Raw genomic sequence first — 19,662 nt, 5'->3', positions numbered from 1 at the left:
GTTTTGCCATGGTGCCCAGGCTGGTCTTGACCTACTAACCTCAGGTGATTCACCCTCCTCGGCCTCCCAAAGTGCCGGGATTACAGGTGTGAGCCACTGCACCCAGCCACCTGCATTGTTTTCTAACAGCAAAACTTGGGAGCATGCTGAATGTATTTAATAAGGAATGAATACAATAGAATATTGTGCTGTCATAAAAGACAGTGAAGTAAATGGTCCATGATGTATATTTGTATAAATATATATTGTTTATGCTGCTGTCCATGCTTAGAAAAAAATATCAAGCAAATGACCTCAGAAATTAACTGTGTTTGTGACCTCTAGAGAATGGGAAGAGAGGACTTAGGAGGCCAGGTTGCACTTTATGCCCTCCAGTACTTTTAAAAAATTGTTTTACTGAGATATGGTATATGTATCATGCAGTTCACCCACTTAAAGTATACAGTTCAGGCTGGGAATGGTGGTTCACACTTGTAGTCCCAGCACTTTGGGAGGCCCAGACGAGAGGCTCACTTGAGGCCGGGAGTTCAAGACCAGCCTAGGCAATGTTTGCATGTCTCTAAAAAAAAGAAAAAAGAGAATTTAAAAAGAAAAAAAAGCGTACAATTCAGTAGCTTTACTATATTCACGTGTATGTGCAGCCATCACCACAGTCAATTTTAGGAACATTTTCATTACTCCACAATAAAACTCTGTACCCTTTAACTAACACCCTCCATCTTTTCATCCTCCTATCCACAGCCCTAGGCAACCACTAAAATACTGTCTCTGGAGATTTTCCTATTCTGGACTTTTATGTGCATAGAATAATATGTGGACTTTTTTGTCTGGCTATCATTGAACATAATATTCTCAAGGTTCATTCATGTTGTGGCATGTATCAGTACTCCATTCCTTTTCATTCCATTGTATGGATATACCACATTGTGTGCATTTATCAACTGACAAACACTTGGGCTGTTTCCATTTTGGCTATTATGAATAATGCTGCTATGAACACTTGAGTACAAGTTCTTGTGGATGTGAGTTTTCATTTCTTTTGGGTACATACCTAGTAGTAGAATTGCTGAGTCATAGGGTAAGTCCACCTTGAATAGTTTGAAGAACTGCCAGACTGTTTTCCAAAGTGGCTATAGCGCTTTACGTCACCACCAGCAGTCCATGAAACTTCCAATTCGTTCGCATCCTCGTCAGCACTTTTTATTATCTGACTTTGTGATTCTAGCTATCTTCATGGGTGTGAAGTGGTATCTCATTGTGGTTTTGATTTAGTAGACTGAATGCATTTCTTTTTTTTTTTTTTTTTTTTTTTTTTTTTGAGACAGAGTCTTGCTGTGTCATCCAGGCTGGAGTGCAGTGGCATGATCTCAGCTCGCTGCAGCCTCTGCCTTCCAGGTTCAAGTGATTCTCGTGCCTCAGCCTCCCAAGTAGCTGGGATTACAGGCACCTTCCACCACGCCTGGCTAATTTTTGTATTTTTAGTAGAGACGGGCTTTCACCATGTTGGCCAGGCTAGTCTCGAACTCTTGACCTCAGGTGATCTGCCAGCCTCAGCCTCCCAAAGTGCTGGAATTACAGGCATAAGCCATTGAGCCCAGCCCTAAACTTACTTTAATTCAGCATGTATGGAACCTTAGCTGTAATCTGATAGTCTCCAGTGTGGAAGACCCTAATGCAGTGGCTGGGCATGGTGCCTGTCATCCCAGCACTTAGGGATGTGGAGGCAGGAGGAATGCCTTGAGGCCAGGAGTTTGAGACCAGCTTGCACAACATGGCAAAGACCCCATCTCTACAAAAAATTTTTAAAATTAGCCAGGCATGGGGATACGTCTCTGTAGTACCAGCTACTCAAGAGGCTAAGGCAGGAGGATCCCTTAAGCTGAGGAGTTCGAGGCTGCAGTGAGCTGTAATAGTGCCACTGTACTCCAGCCGAGGCAACAGAGAGAGACTCTATTTCAAAACAGGAACAAAAGCAAACAAAGGATCCTAATGCAGGATAAAGGTTAAGAAAACATGGCCTTTGAGCCGGGCACAGTGGCTCACGCCTGTAATCCCAGCGCTTTGGGGAGGCTGAGGCAGGTGGATCACTTGAGGTCAGGAGTTTGAGACTAGCCTGGCCAACATGGTGAAACCCTGTCTCTACTAAAAATACCAAAATTAGCCGGGCCTGGTGGCGCACGCCTGGAGTCCCAGCTACTCAGGAGGCTGGGGCAGGAGAAGCACTCAAACCCGGGAGGTGGAGCTTGGAGTGAGCTGAGATTGCGCCATTGCACTTCAGCCTGGGCGACAGAGCGAGAATCAGTCTCAAAACCAAAAAAAAGAAAACGTGGCCTTTGTATCGTGAAAGTTAGGGAGAAGTTTCTTACTTAGCTGTCAGTTAGTTTAACTAAAAATATAACATTTTGCTTACCTTTTAGGTTTATTAATTTTGTGAAAAACTACAAGAATCCCAATCTGACCATTTCCTTCACTGCTGAACGAAGTATTGAAGATGAACTAAATCGTGAAAGTGACAGTGATGTCTTCACCGTTGTAATTAGCTATGCCATCATGTTTCTATATATTTCCCTAGCCTTGGGGCACATGAAAAGCTGTCGCAGGCTTCTGGTAAGCCGGGGGGGGGTGGTGTATGTTCTAGAGGTTAACAGCAGTGCACAGTGTAACGTCATATTTTTGCCTCTTTATTCTTATTCCATTATGTTTAAAACTGCCATAAATTCCCCCATGTTTTAATTGTATGTAACGTTTCTGTTGCCTACATCTATTTTCTTCATTCCAACTTTTTGGTTTATCTTAAAGTTTATTTCACATAATCCAGTTTTTTCTTATTTGTCCAGTCCATCACCTAAGAATGCAAACTCATAACATGTGTTGCCCGAGCAGACCTAGAAATGTTTACAAGTCCTCTCTGAAACACAGAATTGTACATTCAACTCTAGGTTTAATACAGCCCTGTAAAGTAAAAAGGAGGACCTTTTAGTAACAAGTGGGACAGACAACCCTGTAACTAATTGGTGATTGTGTCTGTCGCCTCTCTCAGGTGGATTCGAAGGTCTCACTAGGCATCGCGGGCATCTTGATCGTGCTGAGCTCGGTGGCTTGCTCCTTGGGTGTCTTCAGCTACATTGGGTTGCCCTTGACCCTCATTGTGATTGAAGTCATCCCGTTCCTGGTGCTGGCTGTTGGAGTGGACAACATCTTCATTCTGGTGCAGGCCTACCAGGTATACTTCCATATTCTCACAGGGCTCAGCATCTGTTCAAGTTTCAGGGACTGTGAATGGCTCCTGGGCTCCGCATTCGTGAGTGTGACCTGTGAGGGTGTTTTGTTTCCTTTCCCTGTGTGGCTCATCGGTCGTCTTGACTTGCTGTGGACATCTTAGGACCAAGAATTTCACCCCTCTTTTTGGTTGTTGAAATAGTAGATATAAAGTAAGAATTGTGTTTTAAATTGTATCTTTAAATAGTGTCTTTTAATAGTATCTTTTCATTTTAAATAGTATCATGTGTACAAGAAGGGCTAACACACTTTTGGAAAAGATTTTGGGTACGACTGCTGTTAAAATGATGTTCAGCATAGTATAGAATGTTAGATTCATTTTGCCCAAAGGTGCCACTAAAAAGGCAAAAGGTCAACACGTGTCCCGCTGCTGTAGAAGGTGGTCTCAGTCGTCCTGTAGACCCGACGTGGGCGGAGACTCAGTGCACGTGAGAGTGATGTTCACTGGTCCAGTCCCCTGCCGCCTGTGTTCCGAGTGTTTTCCTGATAATGTGGCTGGCTCAGCTTTCCCTTTAGTTTCTCACTTGGTACCTAGCTCTGTAGTGCAGAAATACTCTGAGAACATTGGAGTCCCCCACCGAAGTTTATATGCTTAGAAGACACTGCTAATCGTCTACTAATCATTTATTTTTACCCTTGAGTTAACACAAGGCAGCAAGAAATGGCGTTGTTATTGAGAAATTTTAATGTCGCATAATTTTTTTTTTTTTTTTTTAAGAGAGATGAACGTCTTCAAGGGGAAACCCTGGATCAGCAGCTGGGCAGGGTCCTAGGAGAAGTGGCTCCCAGTATGTTCCTGTCATCCTTTTCTGAGACTGTAGCATTTTTCTTAGGTAATTATGCTTTCAATCCTACCAGTCCTGTAGTCTGCTGAGCCTGGAGAAAGAAGGAGCTGGCTACCTGAACATGTCCCTTTGTGTTGCTTCCTTTTTTTTTTTTTCTTTTTTTTTTTTTTCTCTGAGACGGAGTCTCACTCTGCCACCCAGGCTGGAGTGCAGTGGTGCAATCTCGGCTCACTGCAGCCTCCGCCTCCCGGGTTCAAGCGATTTTCCTGCCTCAGCCTCCCAAATAGCTGGGATTAAAGGCACGTACCACCATGCCCAGTTAATTTTTTGCATTTTTAATAGAGATGGGGTTTCACCATGTTGGCCAGGCTGGTCTCGAACTCCTGACCTCAGGTGATGTACCTGCCTCGGCCTCCCAAAGTGCTGAGATTACAGGCGTGAGCCCCCGTGCCCAGCCCGTGTTGTCTCCTTTTTTTAAGCTTTGTTCTGCACTGGGAAAGTATCACTGGACCACAGAAAAATTGGCAGCAGTAACTTAGGTGTGATTTTGCAAGTGGCTTCCTTCTCATTTAACTGTCAGGACAGCATTGATGTTGGGGTTCAGGGTGAAAGAGACCTAGAGTTCGTCTTGCCACTTTCCCCTTTTAGTAGCCACTGGGAATGTTGATAGTTGAAAATGGCATCCTTGAGTAGCCACTGAATCCTTCTCCACATGACACTCTAAGCAGCAGCTCCCAAATCCACAGGCACTCGCTTACAAGATGTTTGCCGTTGTTTTCAAAGGCAGTCTTTCTCTTCTGTGCACACAACTCATTGGGGAAGCAGCCTTGTTAATGACCAGAAGCTCTTGACTCACCACATTACAAGGAGCCAGAATAAGCTGGAACAAAGTCAGCACTTCTGTGTTTCTTTCACATAGAGAATCATCAAATAGACCCACTAGTGGGGCTGTCTGCCCCATGTCTGAAGTGTAGTAAGAGCAAAGTGACTCTGTCCACTATAGGGGAGGCTGGACTGGAATCACTCAGTCCAAAGAAGACCATCCACGGGCCACAAACTGCAATGCCTACATGGCTGGGAGGTCAGCTTAATCAGGGCCATTGTAAGGTCATTGTAGGTGGTAGTCTTTCACCACAGATACACTGCTAGCTTGTTATTCTTCATCTCCACAAAGCCATGTGCTTTTGAAACCTGTAGCCCTGTAGTTCCTTTTGACAAACACAGGTGCAGAAAAAAAAAAAAAAAAGAAAAAACTTTCTTTTTTTCACTACTATTATAAGAAAACCAGTGCAAGTGTGATGATAATAGCAGCAGAGACTGTGCCTCAAGGTTGGAGTGACCTTGGGACAGTAGGAGTGAGTAGGGATTGTGGCACCCCAACTGCACGTGTCCTATCTAAAAAGACAGTTATGTGTGTGGCCAACCCAGTGCTACAAGGTCTGTGTTGTTGTTGTTGTTTTTCTTCCAAGCAAAGCTGTGAATCTAGATTTTTGTGTAAAATGCCATTGTTAAATATTGGCAACTTATAAAAAAAAGTTTTTTAATCTTAAGATGGGTTGATACAGTGTGGGCTAAACAGGAACCATCTGATTCATGGGCTGCCAGTTTGCAGTTTCCAAGTCTTACCCTCATGCCTTTGATCCTCACTCGATTGTAGATTACCTCTTAACTAAACTGGGAGGCTAGTAGTGTTGATGTAATAAATGGAAAATACTGTCCATTTCTTACAGTGAAGCACAGAAAGTACTATAAGAAATGGCCTGTATTAGTGGTTCTCAAATTTTAATGTGTGTGAATTTGCTGTGAACCTGAGTATAGTAGAATTGGGGTTGAATTCCTGTCATAACTAGGATGGGGCTTCCCAAATGGTCTGGTGCTGAGTGTGCTTTGAAAAGCACTGGCTTATCACCTCCTGTCCCACTTCTGGTGTAATGTCCAGCCGCAGCATGCCTTCTCATGCGTTTGGCCTGTGCTGGCTCCTTGTATCTGTACATGCACATGAACATAAGACCTGCAGAGAGCCCCCGGCTGTAAACAGAAGTGACGCAGAGCCCTTCTCTCCCCGACAGGAGCATTGTCCGTGATGCCAGCCGTGCACACCTTCTCTCTCTTTGCGGGATTGGCAGTCTTCATTGACTTTCTTCTGCAGATTACCTGTTTCGTGAGTCTCTTGGGGTTAGACATTAAACGTCAAGAGGTAAGTTGGTGCCAGGATTATAGTCTATTTAATTTGAGTCTAGAATCTAGAGGAAGCAGCTAGCGGGTATAACCTTTGTTTCCCTCTGTCCCCTCAGAAAAATCGGCTAGACATCTTTTGCTGTGTCAGAGGTGCTGAAGATGGAACAAGCGTCCAGGCCTCAGAGAGCTGTTTGTTTCGCTTCTTCAAAAACTCCTATTCTCCACTTCTGCTAAAGGACTGGATGAGACCAATTGTGGTATGCGCTTATCTGTGGTTTTTCTCTTTCCTCTCACTGAAACAGATTATCACATGCCTTCTAAGAAGCCAGACAGCCTGGGAAGGAGATTCTTAAAGCTGTTAAAATGTATCTAAAAAAAAAGCAAAAGCAAATGTGGAACAGTAGATAAAATGTTTTTCCTGTGAGCTTTTATCAGTCCATATAAACAAGAGTTTTAAGTTTTTTATTTTGAAATAGTTTCAGATTCACAGAAAGTTGCAAAGAAACTTTTATTTTTCCTCTTAATAATGAGGAAATAGAAGCCAAGAGAGGTGAAGTGGTTTGCCCCAAGTCACTCAGCCCGTAAGTGGCAGAGTCAGGATTTGCACCCAGGAATTTGGACTCCTGGTGCTGTGGTCTCACCCACTGCCCTGTACTCCCTATTAGCCTGTCATTTAAGCTTTTCCATTTTAAAAAATCCTGCTTTTTGTGTGTGCTTAAGATTTTATTTCTGGTCGTAAGCTTATTTACTAAGCAGTCTCTGTCTTATGATTCATTTGTTGTTCCAGATAGCAATATTTGTGGGTGTTCTGTCATTCAGCATCGCAGTCCTGAACAAAGTAGATATTGGATTGGATCAGTCTCTTTCGATGCCAGATGTAAGATGACTTCCTTTTTTTTTTTTTTTTAACTTCTTTAGCTGATGATGAATACATTTTTCAAAACATGCACGTAGGTGTTTCAAGCAAGTGCCTGCTTCTAACTGCAAATGGTGACAGGGTTTCCAGGGTTAGGAGAACTGTCGCAGTGCACTGCTGGTGTGGGCTGTCTGGCATTCTGACTGAGCCCCTCTGGGCACAGCTGCAGAACACGAATAACTAGTCTTATGAGGTTACTTTATGAGATGCTCTCCTGATTGTGGGGCTAGCAGGAGGAGCACCCTGGGGCCCTGGGGGGAAGACTGGTGGTGTTAGGAATCATGAGTCCAGCTGGAGGCATCTCAGCCAGGAACCTCCTGGCACCCTCTTATTCTCCATGATCCTCGCCTTGCTTAGTTACTATCAGAGTGTTCACACTCTCTCCTATTCTTTTATCTTTCTTTCAGGACTCCTACATGGTGGATTATTTCAAATCCATCAGTCAGTACCTGCATGCGGGTCCGCCTGTGTACTTTGTCCTGGAGGAAGGGCACGACTACACTTCTTCCAAGGGGCAGAACATGGTGTGCGGCGGCATGGGCTGCAACAATGATTCCCTGGTGCAGCAGATATTTAACGCGGCGCAGCTGGACAACTAGTCAGTACCACCTTGTCTTGTACTTCAGAAGCAGCGGAGGAGGCTCTCAGCCAGGCAGTCAGCTCAGGCCTGAAATGTCTCACTGAAAATAGACTTTCTTGGAAAAGTTGTTTTTATGCAAAATGTATGTTAAATCTGGCTTTACCTTAAAAAACCTTTGAAAGGACTAATTTACCACCTAATACTTTGAAGGCTTTTTTCATTAAGTGCTCATGTAGTTTTTCTTTTGACTGTTAGCAGTATAAAACGTAGAAAAGGAAGTTAGGTTTTAAGAAAAAGTACTGAAACTAAAGACTTCCTCCCTGTGGAGCAGGTCAGTAACCCTGTCTGTCCTCTCTAGTACCCGAATAGGCTTCGCCCCCTCGTCCTGGATCGACGATTATTTCGACTGGGTGAAGCCACAGTCGTCTTGCTGTCGAGTGGACAATATCACTGACCAGTTCTGCAATGCTTCAGGTACCTTCTCCTTTACCAAATCTTTCCTGTTTTGCTGAAAAATTTTCAAATTATCATTTAAAAATCATTTGCATCGTGCCTCAGTTTATACCTATTTGTATATCAAAGCTGGGTCTCCCTGTGTCATCATTCCTTTCCTCAGTCATTCATTCTGAAATTGTCATGTTGTTCCTGGCTCAGACAGCCACCCTCGGGGCTGCAAGCTGAACAAGGTCCACATGTTCGGAGTGTGGTTTCCACATAAGGTTTCTCATCCTGTTCTAACTCCAGCGATTGCCTCTCAGGATTGGTATCTGGCCTTAGCTTCTCAGAGGAGGGCTTTTCTTTATCACTTTACCCTGTGGTTTTGTAGGAGCGTCGAGGTTGCCCTGGAATTTTCTTAATAAAAACATAGAAGCCCCGGGCTCTGACCAGTCAAGGCCATACTTGAAGGAGGAGATCTACTTCAGGGCAGAAAATGATGCATAGTATGCCTAAGATGAAAATGGTATTTCAGATTCATTAAACTGTGAAAGTGACATGTGGCTGAAGCTTTTAGATAAGGGGAAAGATTATCCCTCACTAGTAAGGAAAGTAATCGATAGAGAAGAAAGTAATGCCCCTCACTGTCAGTATTTTAAAATGTTTTACAAAAAATCTGGAGACCTATTCTTCTAACAGTCCTCCCTGCATGTCTCCGCCAGTGGTTGACCCTGCCTGCGTTCGCTGCAGGCCTCTGACTCCGGAAGGCAAACAGAGGCCTCAGGGGGGAGACTTCATGAGATTCCTGCCCATGTTCCTTTCGGATAACCCTAACCCCAAGTGTGGCAAAGGGTAAGTGCTGCTGCCATTGCAGATAAGCATCCACTGCAACTTTAATTTGCAGTAGAAAACTAGGAGAGGACTGGGCTAAGACAGTTGCATGGGAACGTCTCTTCTCCGCCCCACCCTGTCCTGGTCCTTTGGTGGAAGCAGGAAAACCGAAAACACCTTTTTAAGAAAATGCCTCATAGTGTTCAACTGATTCTGTCTTAGCGTGGGCATTCACATCTCATGCTCTCTCTGTGTCCTGGCCCCCTGGGCATGAGAATGAACGCAGATTCCTGTGCACATTCCAAGCGGGGCTGAGGGAGAGGACGGCCTGCTGGTAATCCAGGCCTGAAGGAACTTGGCCTGTTCACTTGTACTGATGGCAGCTGGGGCGTGATCTTAGCTTTAGTAACATTATCCCACATTAAGGTTGCGATTCTTTTAGCCTCGTCATGCTCCTTGCCAGCCCATCCATGTATAGGGTTATGGGCTATCTCACTCCCCCATCCAGCCAGGCAGCCAGTTACCCACGGAAGCCAGATATATGGCCCAAAAATAGTGATGATGACCGGAAGTCTCTGGCCTTGATTTGGAAGCTTTGGGAGGTGGAAGATGAGTATCCCCATGTATGTTAGGTAAACCCTGAACTTAGGTTTTTCATAAGAACATACATCTGACCAGAGTCATATCAGTGAATCATTTATATCATGCATGTGCTTTGAGACCTATTCGAGGTATCATGGGATGACTCCTCCTAAAAGTTAAGTAGAAATGAATCTTGCAGCTTGATTTACTCACTGACTGGATGCTTTGGCCTACGTAAAATAAGTTGAAGTAGATTCAGTTTTTCTGAAGGCAGTAGCCACCGTTCCTGGGGAGCCTCCAGGGTGCCAGCGTCATGCCAGGCACTCCCTGACATTATTCCATTTCTCATCACGCAGCCTATGAGTAGGTGGTGGTATACCCATTTACAGAAGAGGAGACTGGGGCTCAGAGGTGGTCATTTTGCTCGGGGTTACATGACCAGTAAGTGGCAGGGCTGAGGTTGTTCCCAGGGCCCTTGCCCTTTCCTGCTTCCTATTACACAACAGGACTGAGTAAACCCTGTACCTTTGATTATACATGAAACCAGGTGGAGAAACAGCAGCTATGTACCAAAGAACCCAGAGCAATCGAGAAAAGCCCATCTGGCCAGGCGAAGTGGCTCACACCTGTAATCCCAGTACTTTTGGAGGCCGAGGTGGGCGGATCACCTGAGATCACCTCAGGAGTTCAAGACTAGCCAGGCCAACATGGCAAAACCCTGTCTCTACTAAAAAAATACAAAAGTTAGTTGAGCGTGGTGGCAGGTGCCTGTAATCCCAGCTATTCGGGAGGCTGAGGCAGGGAGAATTGCTTGAACCCGGGAGGTGGAGGTTGCAGTGAGCCGAGATCACGCCACTGCACTCCAGCCTGGGCTACAGAGCAAGACTCTGTCTCAAAATAAAAAAAAAAAGAAGCCAGTCTGGGAGAGAACAAGCTAAACCTTTGGTGTTCCCTTATCTGGGGGCCTTCTTCATCCCTGAAATGTACAGCTGGGTCTGACCTCTGAGTCCAGGGTCAGGTGATTTTGCTTAGCCTCAAGTGCTCAGATTCTGCTGATATTTTGCAAGACCTGGACTCTCTTGACACCCAGGATTCTTTCCTCAGGGGACATGCTGCCTATAGTTCTGCAGTTAACATCCTCCTTGGCCATGGCACCAGGGTCGGAGCCACGTACTTCATGACCTACCACACCGTGCTGCAGACCTCTGCTGACTTTATTGACGCTCTGAAGAAAGCCCGACTTATAGCCAGTAATGTCACCGAAACCATGGGCATTAACGGCAGTGCCTACCGAGTATTTCCTTACAGGTAAAGCCTGCCCTTTTTCAATGGGGTTTACCCAGCAAAGGGCCTACACTGGGTGGGAGTGGGGAGGGTTCCCTTGGCAAGATGCTGATTTTCAGGTTGGGTTCTGGCCCCTGCTCCATTCTGAGCACAGGGCAGTATATCAAAGGAAATGGGTGCTGGGCAAAGGAGTTCAGAATCTAAAGTCTCTGTGAAGGCCTGAGGGCTAGAGACGCAAAACTTGATCTCTGCGCCACTGCACAGCTGCAAGAGACACACACTGGAAAATGGCTTAAGGCAGGGGGCGCTTGGAGAGCAGGCGGCTCAGAGCAGGGCCCGGCCCACATTCTTGGCCAACAATGAACCAGAATCCCTAACTGCTGGTTATTTGGGATGCTGCCTGTATGTAGACTTTTTATATTGTTAGGGGTTTTTTTTCCCAGGAAGAAAAGTATTATGTATGAACTACTGAATTTAGAAACTGTAGAAAGGTAGGAGAAACAAGTGATTTATTTTTCCTGCCTCCCCATGATCTCGCTTAAAGCAGGAAGGCCTGGATTTGTTTGGAAGAAGTTAAGAGCCGGTTAGCTCTGGCAGAAAATAAATGAAAGCATGTTTTCCTCAGGCCTTGCACGGACCCCGCTGAGCCTGAGGTAGTGTCTCAGGATAGATCAGGATTCTTTGTTTTTTTGTGTTTTTTCAGAATGCTGTGGAATGCTCTCTGTAAATGTCTATAAAATAGCATAGATTGGGCTTATAAACAGAAACTTTATCAAAAATATACATTTTGCATCACTGCTGGGCCCTTCTCTGGGTGGTCAGTGGCCATGAGAGGTCAAGTGAGTTGCTTTCGGTGAGTCTTGTAGACAGCCAGCAAGGTTTTCTGCAAGGGATGTTTCCCAAAGGAGTCTGACCACTTGGCAGTGGTGACAGGATGAACACGCAGTGTTCGGGAGTGAGAGCGAGCTTTAATGAGGCCTCCCCTCTCCCCTCCAGTGTGTTTTATGTCTTCTACGAACAGTACCTGACCATCATTGACGACACTATCTTCAACCTCGGTGTGTCCCTGGGCGCGATATTTCTGGTGACCATGGTCCTCCTGGGCTGTGAGCTCTGGTCTGCAGTCATCATGTGTGCCACCATCGCCATGGTCTTGGTCAACATGTTTGGAGTTATGTGGCTCTGGGGCATCAGTCTGAACGCTGTATCCTTGGTCAACCTGGTGATGGTGAGTCCTCATACAGTCTCAGTTTGTCCCTAGCTCCTGTTTCACTTGGGGGAATTGGCTGTCTTAGATTCCATGTAAACCCTAAAGATGGAGTAAGATACCAAGTCTGGCGCTTGCTCTTGGCACACATGGAGAGGCAGGATGAGTGCTGGAGGAGTGCTGGATGGTGGTGGGACAGGGCATAGAGGGAGCGAGCATTGAGTTGGACATCTGGGAGCATAGGCACATTACAGGCAATTTCTGTTCAATTTTTTCTCTTGTCCCATTCCTTGCGGCTATACTAGTATACCTGATGGTGCCTCTGACCATGGAAATGTGATTTCCTGGCCTAGTTCTGGGCTAGTCTGCCTGTAATTTGTTATTCTTTAGAGATTGCACAAGCCTGTAGCCTGATGACAGCAGGATGTTCACTTTTTACTTAGAAAATTGCACCCCGCCCCAGGAGCTCTCCGACCAGTGCCTTTTGCCTCCTATGTGGTTATCAGGTACTTTTAATCATTAAAGATGAGAGCACTTGAGAAGGTATTCATGGAAAATAGAACAGTGTATCCGTACTCTCAGATATGAGCCCTGCTTCAGATAGGGGAGCACTGAGGTCCAAGAAAAGAAGTTGTGACAATGCGCCAGCTCGGTGCGGGTGGGGTGACCTTAACGGGTTCCAGCAATTTCTCCTGGTCAACACAAACGTGCCACAGAAAACCAGGCTTTTGGCTGTGTGTAGAGAGGGCCCCAAAAAGTTCCTGGTACAGTAAGATTGGTGTGATGGAGGCCTTGTAAGTCCAATGGGATGCTTGGCCTCCTCTAGCACCCAGGGTGCCCTGGGTAATTAGCACCCATCCTCAGAACGGGGTGGCTGCCTAGGGTCTTCAACAGGAAGAGAGCCATCCTAAAGGAAGTGCTTTATTTCAGAGCTGTGGCATCTCCGTGGAGTTCTGCAGCCACATAACCAGAGCGTTCACGGTGAGCATGAAAGGCAGCCGCGTGGAGCGCGCGGAAGAGGCACTTGCCCACATGGGCAGCTCCGTGAGTACCCTGAGCAGGGCCACGCCGGCAGAGTCGCACCACAAAGTAATCCTCCTCAGTGACTGAAGAGTCTGGATCCTGTACTTACAAAGCAGCTTCTAAGGATTGCAAGCTTTCAGGCAATTCATGAATTAGCTGCCACATCGTGGACAGAACGGACGTTCTGTGGAACTGTACCTGTTGGTACGGCTCCTTTTTAGGTGGCAGTGTGCTGAAGCAGGAAAATAACAGACAAGTTAAACATGAGACAGCTGGCAGTCTTTCCCATTTAAAATGCAGGGGAGCCCGGGCCAGAACCCAGCGTGTGATGTGCGGTTGGTGCCTGGAGAGTCGTCTTGGTTCAACTCTACACCCTGGCTTAGCCTATCTCTTTACCACTGTAGAAAATACCTGGTAAAGAGTAAAAACTAAAACTTTGTTTCGTAACACTTTTAAATATTTAAGTTTTCACCTGAGAATATAAAGAAAGATAATCAATTGGGAGACACGATGCAGTGTCTGTGCAGAATACACAGCTTTTAACTTGGTCATACCTCTCCCCCAGGATCATAAGGCAGCAAATAGTGTTAGGTAGTAGATGATGCTACCTGGGTTCAGTTCCCATTGCTTTGAACCTTGAATATTAAGAAATCCCCATAAGGGCTGGCCACGGTGGCTCATGCCTATAACCCCAGCACTTTGGGAGGCCAAGGCTGGCGGACCACTTGCGGCCAGGGGTTCGAGACCATGGCCAACATGGTGAAACCCCATCTCTACTAAAAACACAAAAATTAGCCAGGCATGGTGGCGTGCACCTGTTTAATCCCAGCTACTCAGGAGGCTGGGGCAGGAGAATCACTTGAACCTGGGAGAAATCCTTGTAAGGAAGTGTTTTTGTTCAATTACAGGTTGGTAAAAGTGGTTTCTAACACAGTATCTCTTCTTTTAGGTGTTCAGTGGAATCACACTTACAAAATTTGGAGGGATTGTGGTGTTGGCTTTTGCCAAATCTCAAATTTTCCAGATATTCTACTTCAGGATGTATTTGGCCATGGTCTTACTGGGAGCCACTCACGGATTAATATTTCTCCCTGTCTTACTCAGTTACATAGGTAAGAGTTCTCATCTTAAAAGGGTGGCACAATAGAAGGACATTACTGAAAGGGAATTCTATCCTGAGGCATTCTTTTCAAGTATTTGAACTCATACTAATGGTCATTTGATAATGATAAATGATACTGAGTAAAAAAATTTCTTCTAAAAGAAAAAACCCATCCAGGGGATTCATGATGGTGCAGACTACTTTATTAGGAAGTTGTCGATGTTTTTTCTGGAGGCCTGATCTGTCTGCTTCACAAAGGCCTGGAGCCAGTCCTTGAATGGATCTGAGTGTCAGCAGGCAGGGCAGCTCCTCCCTGCCACTGAGATGAAGGAGTCCATCTGGCAGCCAGCTCTCACACCAGCAGTGCTGCAGAACAGCTTTTTATGTCCCTCATGGATTTCCCGTTTCTTAGCAAAGTGCTTGCTGCCTTTCTTCATCTCGAGACTGTCCTTGATCCTTTTACTTCTATGGCCACTTCACCTTGCACAAAAATGACCCACGGTTGAAAGAACAATACTGATTTGCTTCATTTATAGCTTTGTCACTAAATTGAAGCACTGAAGTAGAAGATTAAGAAAATGAGGGGCTTTTTATCATCTCCGGGGGATAGAAAGTAGTTCTATTACAATCTAATATACTAGTTCCTTTTAAGAAAAAAAAAAAAAAAAAGAGATGAGCACTTTGGAAGGCTGAGACAGGAGAATCGTTTGAGACCAGCCTAGGCAACATAGTGAGGCCTCCATCTCTACAAAAATAAAATTAGCCAGGTGAAGTGGTGTGCGTCTGCAGTCCCACCTACTTGTTAGGCTGAGGCAGGAAGCTTGCTTGAGCCCAGAAGGGTGGGCTTAGGATGCAGTGAGTCGTGTTCATACCACTGCACTGCAGCCTGAGGAAGAAAGCAAAGAGCCCATCTCCAAAAGAGAGGGAGAGAGATGTGGTCTCACTCTGTTGTCCAGGCTGGTCTCAAGCAATTCTCCTGCCTCAGTCTTCCAAAGTGGGATTACAGGCGTGAGCCACTATGCCCAGCCAACTAGCTCCCTTTCTCCTGCAGAAATAAGAAAAAGTCTCTCTCTCTCATAGGGCCATCAGTAAATAAAGCCAAAAGTTGTGCCACTGAAGAGCGATACAAAGGAACAGAGCGCGAACGGCTTCTAAATTTCTAGCCCTCTCGCAGGGCATCCTGACTGAACTGTGTCTAAGGGTCGGTCGGTTTACCACTGGACGGGTGCTGCATCGGCAAGGCCAAGTTGAACACCGGATGGTGCCAACCATCGGTTGTTTGGCAGCAGCTTTGAACGTAGCGCCTGTGAACTCAGGAATGCACAGTTGACTTGGGAAGCAGTATTACTAGATCTGGAGGCAACCACAGGACACTAAACTTCTCCCAGCCTCTTCAGGAAAGAAACCTCATTCTTTGGCAAGCAGGAGGTGACACTAGATGGCTGTGAATGTGATCCGCTCACTGACACTCTGTAAAGGCCAATCAATGCACTGTCTGTCTCTCCTTTTAGGAGTAAGCCATCCCACAAGTTCTATACCATATTTTTAGTGACAGTTGAGGTTGTAGATACACTTTATAACATTTTATAGTTTAAAGAGCTTTATTAATGCAATAAATTAACTTTGTACACATTTTTATATAAAAAAACAGCAAGTGATTTCAGAATGTTGTAGGCCTCATTAGAGCTTGGTCTCCAAAAATCTGTTTGAAAAAAGCAACATGTTCTTCACAGTGTTCCCCTAGAAAGGAAGAGATTTAATTGCCAGTTAGATGTGGCATGAAATGAGGGACAAAGAAAGCATCTCGTAGGTGTGTCTACTGGGTTTTAACTTATTTTTCTTTAATAAAATACATTGTTTTCCTAAGTTTTGGGGTTACCCTATCTGCTTTGAGAGACAAATACAAAAGCTAAATGGAAGAGATTCTATCTAACCTGTCCTTATGGTAACTAAATGCCGTCTTACATTGAGCTAGAAATAGACCTAGAAGTTTCATTAGACAGCCCTGATCCTTCCCTATCCTAAAGATGATGTCTTAGGTTGTATAACTATTTGGAGATGAGAATGATCAACCAGGGCCAGGTGCGGTGGCTCAAACCTGTAATCCCAGCACTTTGGGAGGCTGAGGCAGGCGGATCATGAGGTCAGGAGTTTGAGACCAGCCTGGACAATATAGTAAAACCCCATCTCTACTAAAAATACAAAAATCAGCCGGGTGTGGTGGCACGCACCTGTAGTCCCAACTACTCAGGAGGCTGAGGCAGAAGAATCGCTTGAACCCAGCGGAGGTTGCAGTGAACCGAGATCACACCACTGCACTCCAGCCTGGGCAACGGAGCGAGACTCTGTCTCAAAAAAAAAATGAGAATGATCAACCAATGTATACTTCATAAAACTGAAACCTTAATAAGCCCCAGACCCTTTAAAACCCTTAGCCACCATTTGCCGTCTTATTCCTGGCTTTAAGAGATATTCCAAGATCTGCTATAAGAGATGGGCTGTGCCTGATCTGGGTCCTAAATGTGTCTTGACTCAAAACACACCTCCTCGGTGAGTTCCAGAGCATAATTCAGATTCTGTCAGTATACTGAATTCACTCTACTACAAATAATGGGCCAAGGGCTAGGTGGGCTGTTATCAAATTGTGTTGTTTACAAAAATGCTAACCCAGGGTCCTCGCCCACCAGCTGCCAGTGCCCTCTGCTACTCTTTGAGGCTATGGTTACCCCAAGTCTTTTCATTGCATTCTCACCTGGTGTGAAATTGGGGCTCCCTCGCAAACGCTGGTTTCGCTGTTCAAAAAAGCGGAATATTGTATAGAAAAGCATGTTGTCTTCAGTCTGCTTTGCAGCATCTAAAAATTTTCGTGCAGAAATGTTGTCATGGCCACCAATGCCCCGGATAAACCTTAAGGCAGCTAACACTTGGTGTTTGGAAAGGAGAACTTCTACTATTTCATCATTTGCTGTTGAAAGTCGCTAGCAGTAAGGGAGAGAAGTCCAGGTCAGTGCAAACAACAGGAACAGAGTTAGTTTCCATAGTCTAAAACCTCACACATCAGAGTTACCTTCAGCATGTCCAGAGATAGCTGATGAGCAGGAGGATAGAAACTCTCTAGGGATAACAGCAGACAAGCCTGAAAGACATTTTTAGACCCACTTCAGTTGGAAAGATAACGGTTAAAATTTTCCATTTTTAACCACAATGGAAGTAAAAATCTGGCAATGCATACCAAAGGTTTGGAGTCGCTGAGGACGTGGTACTGCAGGAACTGATGCAGCATATAAAAGAGGTTGTGCTGGACAAGGGTTTTGATAACAAGTTCATGTAGGTAATGCTGAGGACAAAAGTAAAAAGTGAAAGAACACTTCCAAATCATTCAGCTACAACAGACTAGAGGCTCCCCAAGGACTGGCTATTCTAACCAACACAGTAAAAGTCTGTCATTACAAGAAGTGGTTTCGTCATGCAGGTAAAGACCCCAACTTGACCTTACACTTCCCATTCCAACTAATAATGTCAGGAGTCACTCAGCATTCTGAGTCAGGGAGGCAGACCTGTCTTAGCATATGAGTCATCTTCTAAGACAGTGACTGTGTTTTTTTTTTAAATTCCTTCTGTTTTAACTTGGGCCCAGATGATTTGAAGGTACCTGTACTGCAATCTGAAACTGGTTAAGAGAACGAATGTATTCCATCAGCACGGCTATCACAAATTTATGAGGCATCTCCTAGGGAGAAAAAAATGTGGTCTTACAAATACCAACGAGGTGCAAAAGAGGCTGCATATAACTCTCTATCCAACCCCCACCTTGTTTCCATCTTAAAATGGCCCAGTGTTCATCTTTCACTGGTTTTGCACACATCGCTCCAGAACCACCCGTCAACAATTATGCTTTAGGCCTCAGCATTAGAAGCCAAACTACCAGCTCTAGGGCCTCACCCAAGGAAACTCCAGTGATTCTAATCACTTCAAGTGACTCTAATCACATGAAGTCTCCTCGTTTTCAGCAACTTCCTTGTTTTGAGCATTCTCAGTCCAGAAGAGGCGGAAAGCTGCAGCCCACCTTCTTTTCCACAAAGGCTGACAGGACATGGGTGTACACATCTGACTGGTCCAGCACCGCCTGGGTCCGCACCGGCCTCTTGAGGAGCGGGCTGCTTCGGCTCTGCCCTGCTTCCACCGCCTGAAAGAAAAAAACCACAAACTATGATCTTCGGCATCTTAGAGGAAGGGTGCTGTTTACAGTTCATCCACAAGGACTGAATTCTTCGATGTGGACCCAGGATATGAGCGGAAAACACTTTCTCTACTTAGATACAACTTTTTCCTGTGCGCATGCCTGTAATCCCAGCTACTCAGGAGGCTGAGGCAGGAGAATCCCTTGAACCCAGGAGGCAGAGGTTGCGGTGAGCCAAGATCTCACCATTGCACTCCAGCCTGGGCAATAAGAACAAAACTCCGTCTCAAAAAAAAAAAAGCAGTTCAGATCCGTGCAGATTATGCAATAGCTGTGGGGTGTAGCCTGAGAACTTGCATTTCCAAGAAACTCCAGATGCTGCTCATGTGGCTGGTCAGTGGCCCACACTGCTGAGTCATGACGGTTTATGGAGCCCAGCAGACCGTGTGGGACGGCACAGAAACTGCCATTTGGGATCAGACCTACTGATTCCCACAGCCCAGAACACCCACAGCAATAGAGTCCAAAAGGACTCAGCCATCCCTCACGTCTGGCAGCGTAGGAATGGACACTGTCCCAGCAACTGGCCCTCTTCAGTGCCTGTCTCAGACCTCTTACCCTTCCATGAACAGCTAAAGGGGAGTGGAGTTCTGGGGCTTTTGTTGGTTTAAAACCATTTTCAGCCTAGGACTAATCAGATCCTGGAATTGAAATAATTCATTCTCCTTGTCCTAAACTTTTCTTCTGGCTTCAGAAGATATGATGTACAAGTAATACAGCGGGAATTGGTGGCGATAAGCCATGGTTATTACCTTGACTACAAACACGCCTGCTAAGTGCTAACACTGAATCGTCACTATCTCAACAGGATTCTTTCCCAAAAGGGAAGAAAGGTGTGGCAAATATAAATATTTCTAATTTAATTTTCTAAGTCCTCACTCTGGCATAACAGAAAAATATACAAAATATTGCAAAGCAGAGACTGATTTTTCTCATCTATAACAGTAGACCAAGGATCTACAGGCAAGATCAAACACAGATGGGAAAAACAAAAACAGTGAAGGTATGAAGTGAGATGCAGCCGCCAGCTCGTGGGATGCAGGGACCCTGAATTTACTACTCCTCCACTATCCCCCACTACTGCCACCTTGCCCTATGGCAGGCGGCAAATCTCAGCGACCTTATTCTAATATATAGGAAACAATTTTGCATCATAATTACTTAGAAAATACCCGGGAGGGGGTGGGGGAGGAGGACCCTTTGTCATACTCCATGTAACT

At 45.4% G+C, this 19,662-nt stretch overlaps 2 protein-coding genes across 18 annotated transcripts in view, besides 2 other annotated features; one reads left to right on the top strand and one right to left on the bottom strand.

The window, feature by feature from the left end:
• Nucleotides 1-19,662, top strand: part of NPC1 (NPC intracellular cholesterol transporter 1) — an 80,323-nt gene that overhangs the window by 38,940 nt on the left and 21,721 nt on the right. For 4 of the 10 annotated variants that reach the window (XM_005258279.3, XM_005258277.1, XM_017025787.2 and 1 more), the window contains exons 12-24: nt 2,418-2,607; nt 3,041-3,223; nt 3,998-4,112; nt 6,134-6,261; nt 6,359-6,499; nt 7,030-7,119; nt 7,566-7,756; nt 8,097-8,212; nt 8,896-9,025; nt 10,691-10,894; nt 11,867-12,098; nt 13,008-13,121; nt 14,050-14,212. In XM_005258279.3, coding sequence (XP_005258336.1) covers nt 2,418-2,607; nt 3,041-3,223; nt 3,998-4,112; nt 6,134-6,261; nt 6,359-6,499; nt 7,030-7,119; nt 7,566-7,756; nt 8,097-8,212; nt 8,896-9,025; nt 10,691-10,894; nt 11,867-12,098; nt 13,008-13,121; nt 14,050-14,212 — 1,997 coding nt within the window. Of the gene's footprint in view, nt 1-2,417; nt 2,608-3,040; nt 3,224-3,997; nt 4,113-6,133; nt 6,262-6,358; nt 6,500-7,029; nt 7,120-7,565; nt 7,757-8,096; nt 8,213-8,895; nt 9,026-10,690; nt 10,895-11,866; nt 12,099-13,007; nt 13,122-14,049; nt 14,213-15,282; nt 16,126-17,839; nt 19,361-19,662 lie in introns of those variants that run through there. The other 6 variants (XM_047437539.1, XM_017025785.1, XM_017025786.2 and 3 more) reach the window with 3 other exon arrangements.
• Nucleotides 5,240-5,289: an enhancer, noted in NCBI's record as "active region_13163". NCBI's record gives its function as "activates an Ori minimal core promoter by ATAC-STARR-seq in GM12878 lymphoblastoid cells {active_cell/tissue: GM12878}" and the evidence as "EXISTENCE:reporter gene assay evidence [ECO:0000049][PMID:35858748]".
• RMC1 (regulator of MON1-CCZ1) overlaps nt 15,745-19,662 on the bottom strand; it is a 28,353-nt gene continuing 24,435 nt past the window's right edge. For 3 of the 8 annotated variants that reach the window (NM_013326.5, XM_047437486.1, XM_047437487.1), the window contains 6 exons: nt 18,269-18,388; nt 17,855-17,932; nt 17,435-17,539; nt 17,270-17,338; nt 16,955-17,180; nt 15,745-15,942 (listed from right to left, as the gene is read on the bottom strand). In NM_013326.5, the coding sequence (NP_037458.3) occupies nt 15,863-15,942; nt 16,955-17,180; nt 17,270-17,338; nt 17,435-17,539; nt 17,855-17,932; nt 18,269-18,388 (678 nt within the window). In that variant the 3' untranslated portion in view covers nt 15,745-15,862. Of the gene's footprint in view, nt 15,943-16,954; nt 17,181-17,269; nt 17,339-17,434; nt 17,540-17,854; nt 17,933-18,268; nt 18,389-19,662 lie in introns of those variants that run through there. The other 5 variants (NM_001318709.1, NM_001318707.1, NM_001276342.1 and 2 more) reach the window with 4 other exon arrangements.
• Nucleotides 17,300-18,499: an enhancer, noted in NCBI's record as "MED14-independent group 3 enhancer chr18:21109032-21110231 (GRCh37/hg19 assembly coordinates)". NCBI's record gives its function as "activates an origin of replication core promoter dependent on BRD2, BRD4, P300/CBP and CDK7 cofactors, and independent of MED14, by STARR-seq in HCT116 cells {active_cell/tissue: HCT116}" and the evidence as "EXISTENCE:reporter gene assay evidence [ECO:0000049][PMID:35650434]".

The sequence above is a fragment of the Homo sapiens genome, chromosome 18 (genome assembly GCF_000001405.40).
Source record: "Homo sapiens chromosome 18, GRCh38.p14 Primary Assembly".
Taxonomy (NCBI): Eukaryota; Metazoa; Chordata; class Mammalia; order Primates; family Hominidae; genus Homo; species Homo sapiens.
This window is presented reverse-complemented; position numbering and strand designations above follow the sequence as displayed.